Source organism: Homo sapiens, chromosome 4 (genome assembly GCF_000001405.40).
Source record: "Homo sapiens chromosome 4, GRCh38.p14 Primary Assembly".
In the NCBI taxonomy this organism is placed as follows: domain Eukaryota; kingdom Metazoa; phylum Chordata; class Mammalia; order Primates; family Hominidae; genus Homo; species Homo sapiens.
In genome coordinates, this window is record NC_000004.12 from 108,688,861 (window position 1) to 108,692,583 (window position 3,723).

Below are 3,723 nucleotides of genomic sequence, written 5' to 3' on the forward strand. Positions count from 1 at the left end.
GTAAGCTAGCCTATTACTATTTCATGGATACTGGCAGAAGACATGAGACTTCTGGATCAGAGAGAAAGGACTTTATTACTCACAATGGAGCAAGTAAAATGAGTTTTATGTTGGCTTTGGTTTTCCAACACACTTCAAGTCCCACAGGGGCAATGCAGAAAGGCCTATGTTGATGTTTACACATAGCTGGTTCGTGTGGCAGCCAGGGAGCACTAAGCTTAGGGAATATGCTGCTTTTATAGTAAGCAAACCTGCTGTCTGTCTGGAGGGAGACATTATCTTATTCCTCAAGGTTGCTTGCTGCAAGCATGATCCTGAGCAATGGTCTGGGTAAAGATCAGTCACGGCCTTGCATGCTTTACATACCCAGCAAGAAGTTGTGAGGATGCTCAGGGCCCATGGTGGATTGCCTTTCTCAACGTATACTTAGTTGGTAAAGCATTTCAAGGTTGGCATAATTAAGTGGATCACTTTTAATGCTATGTATTACTTTACTGACATTGTGCACACAGTTTCATTATATACTTTATCGTTTAGTATTATTTTTTGATATGTGAAATGAATTAGTTCAGCTTCTTAGATAGTGCCATGTCTTTTGCCATTTCATTTACTGAAATGAGTTCAGATTTATATCAAATGGCTGTACCTACCTATATGTTTATTTTTTATTTTCTTGCTATATTCATTGCCATGCAAACTGTTTTAAAAATCCAGGTAATGGCATTAGCCTTTAGTAACAGTCAGTAATATATAGTTATGAAGCATCACAGTACATCTGTTTGAAGCCTTATAAAAGTTGTTGAGTTTCTGCAAATAACCGAACTTTGTCCCAACATTTTAAACTCTTTTTTAGTCTCAGGTAGTTTATGTAATTCTTATAAAATCTCTATCTGAGACTATCCCTACAACACTTACTATGTCCGTCATTACAACCCCCAGCTTTTTTCCTAGCCAAGTATTTGTATCTTATTTAAAATATTATACTTGAGTGTAGCTATATCCTGGTCAAGAAGAAAATTAATTTCTCTACTTTTCCTCCATATCCCACAACATGCAAGATGTCAGATGTTTATTCTATATGACTAGTATCATGGCCACTGCAAGTTAGGTAGGAATAGCATTGCAGCTCTTAATGAAAGAGCTGTTTCAATTAGCACAGCCTAACCGGGCAACTGGAACTTGAGCCCCTTGCATTCTCTCTCTCTCTCTCTCTCTCTCTCTCTCTCTCTCTCTCTCTCTCTCTCGGTACTGACACTTACTTTGGATTTCAGTTTGTTGAGTGAGTTCGTGCTTGCTGTCTTTCCTTTATGAGGCTGTTAAGCTCCTTGAGGACAGAACCTGGTTTTGCACAACCCATTGTACAGAGCAGAGTGTGCACATTGTAGGGGTTAAGTAAGTCTTGTTTAAAGGTTGTTTGTATTATTTGCTTATCTTTTTACTTTTATTGTGGACATTTTAAACATAAGTAAAAGCAAAGTTAATAGTACTAATAAACCTCTCCTTACCCATTGCCTAACTTCTCCTGTTATCAACGTATGGCCAGTCTTGTTTAATCAATGTATACCCTCATTCCTCCGCTCCCAACCCAGGTTGATTTGAAGTAAATCCCAGATGATAAGATATGTATTTATCTGTAAAGAAATATATATTTTTGAATAATTATATTTCTTAGAATATAGCTATTAGGCCAAAATTACAGTATTCCATAAATACCAGTCACGTTTGATAAATTGATATGAAAGGGAAGTCATTTAAGTCTAGCTCAAATACTATAATTCTGATCCCATTTAAATTACATTATTATTCTTCTCTTGACATGTTTACTTGTGAGAAAAAAGTATTACTACCCAACTTTAGCCAGCCACTTCTGTTTTTGAAGGTTTTTTGTTGCCTTAGACATAGCTGAAAATTTTTCCTCTGTGACAATCTTGATGTGACAGTTTCAACAGGCTGTAAATGAAGTGACCCTGACACTCCTCTCTCAGGACACATCAATGTGGGACATGTTCTTTATTGTTTGTGAAGAACTGATGGTTCATCTTTTGGAAAAACACAAACCAGCTGTCAAAAGGCCTTTATTTGTGCAATAGTTCAGATTACAGCACCATTGGGCAACCCCTGTGAAGGATCATCCACTTTAACTTTCTGAGATGCTGGTATTTCATCACTTTTGCTGAGGTTCCAGGTGGTTTGGTTCTCTGGAACTGACAATGGCCCCTTACCAGGTATGTTTTTGGATATAGTGATTGCCATGCTGCTTCCTTTTGTAGTCGGGGGGGCGGGTAAAAATTGTGCTGCTGGTGATCATAAATAGCATTAGTTCATAAAATAACAATTGTTTCTGTTTTTTTGAACTAGGTCTGCTTCTGATTCGAATAAGCAGAGTGAAAGAAAAGCTTTCTTCTCAGTGCACCTGGGCAGTCCCATATGCCAAGAGGCCATGGAGGACAACGGTGAAGCATGGGGATTCCAGGGTCAATCTGGGTTTTAATTTGCCCTCCATCACCTATTTGCTATGTGAATTGGGCTATTTGCTTGACTAGTCAGTGCTAAATTTCCTTTCCTGAAATAAGGGGTAATCATAATACCTGGATCATAGGTCATTGGTGGGTTAAATTTATTTATTCAACAAACATTTAAAGGATGCTGCTAATTGTCAAGTATACTTGCAGGCCCTGGCAATATAACAGTGAGCAACCATAGGTTCTTAAACTCTTGGAGATTACATTCAAGATTATATATATATATATATATATGTGTGTGTGTGTGTGTATATACATATGTATATATATACATATACACATATGTGTGTGTATATATGTATATATGTATGTATATACACACACACATATATATGTGTATATATATAAAATATATACACATATATATGTGTATATAAAATATATATATACACACATCTAGATGTGTGTATAAAATATATACACACATCTATATATATACACATATATATATACACATATATATAAAATATATATACACATATATATAAAATATATATACACACATATATGTGTGTATATAAAATATATATACACACATATATGTGTGTATATAAAATATATATACACACATATATGTGTGTATATAAAATATATATACACACATATATGTGTATAAAATATATATACACACATATATATGTGTATATATAAAATATATATACATATATATCATCATGTCCTTACCTTCATTCATTTTCCTTCATAACACTTGTCTCCCTGACATTATATATTTATTTTCACCAATATATATATGCACATATATATATACACACACACATGTTTTATATATAAATGAATCAGGGTATACAATTCACATATATATGCACAATATATACATATATACACATATATTATATATAAAGGAGTTATATATATAAAGGGGTTTTATATATAAAGGAGTTAACATAGGTAAAGCTGTCAGCAGACATGAGGTGTTACTATTGCTCTCCCTCGTCTGGATCCAAAGGAGTAGCCAGACCATGGCTTAGCTAGGGAGGAGCAGATCTTGTTTAAACATTTGACATGCGTAATTGTATGCTTTAGAGGAAGGGAATGAACATTCGTATTGCAGTGTGTGGCCTTGTGTGCAGCACTTTAAGTCCTTCAAACAGTACTGTAAGTTGGGTATTTTAAGCCCAAGTTTTAAGAAGATGAAACTGAAAAAGATAAGGAATTTTGCCTACTTCATGCATGTATATGG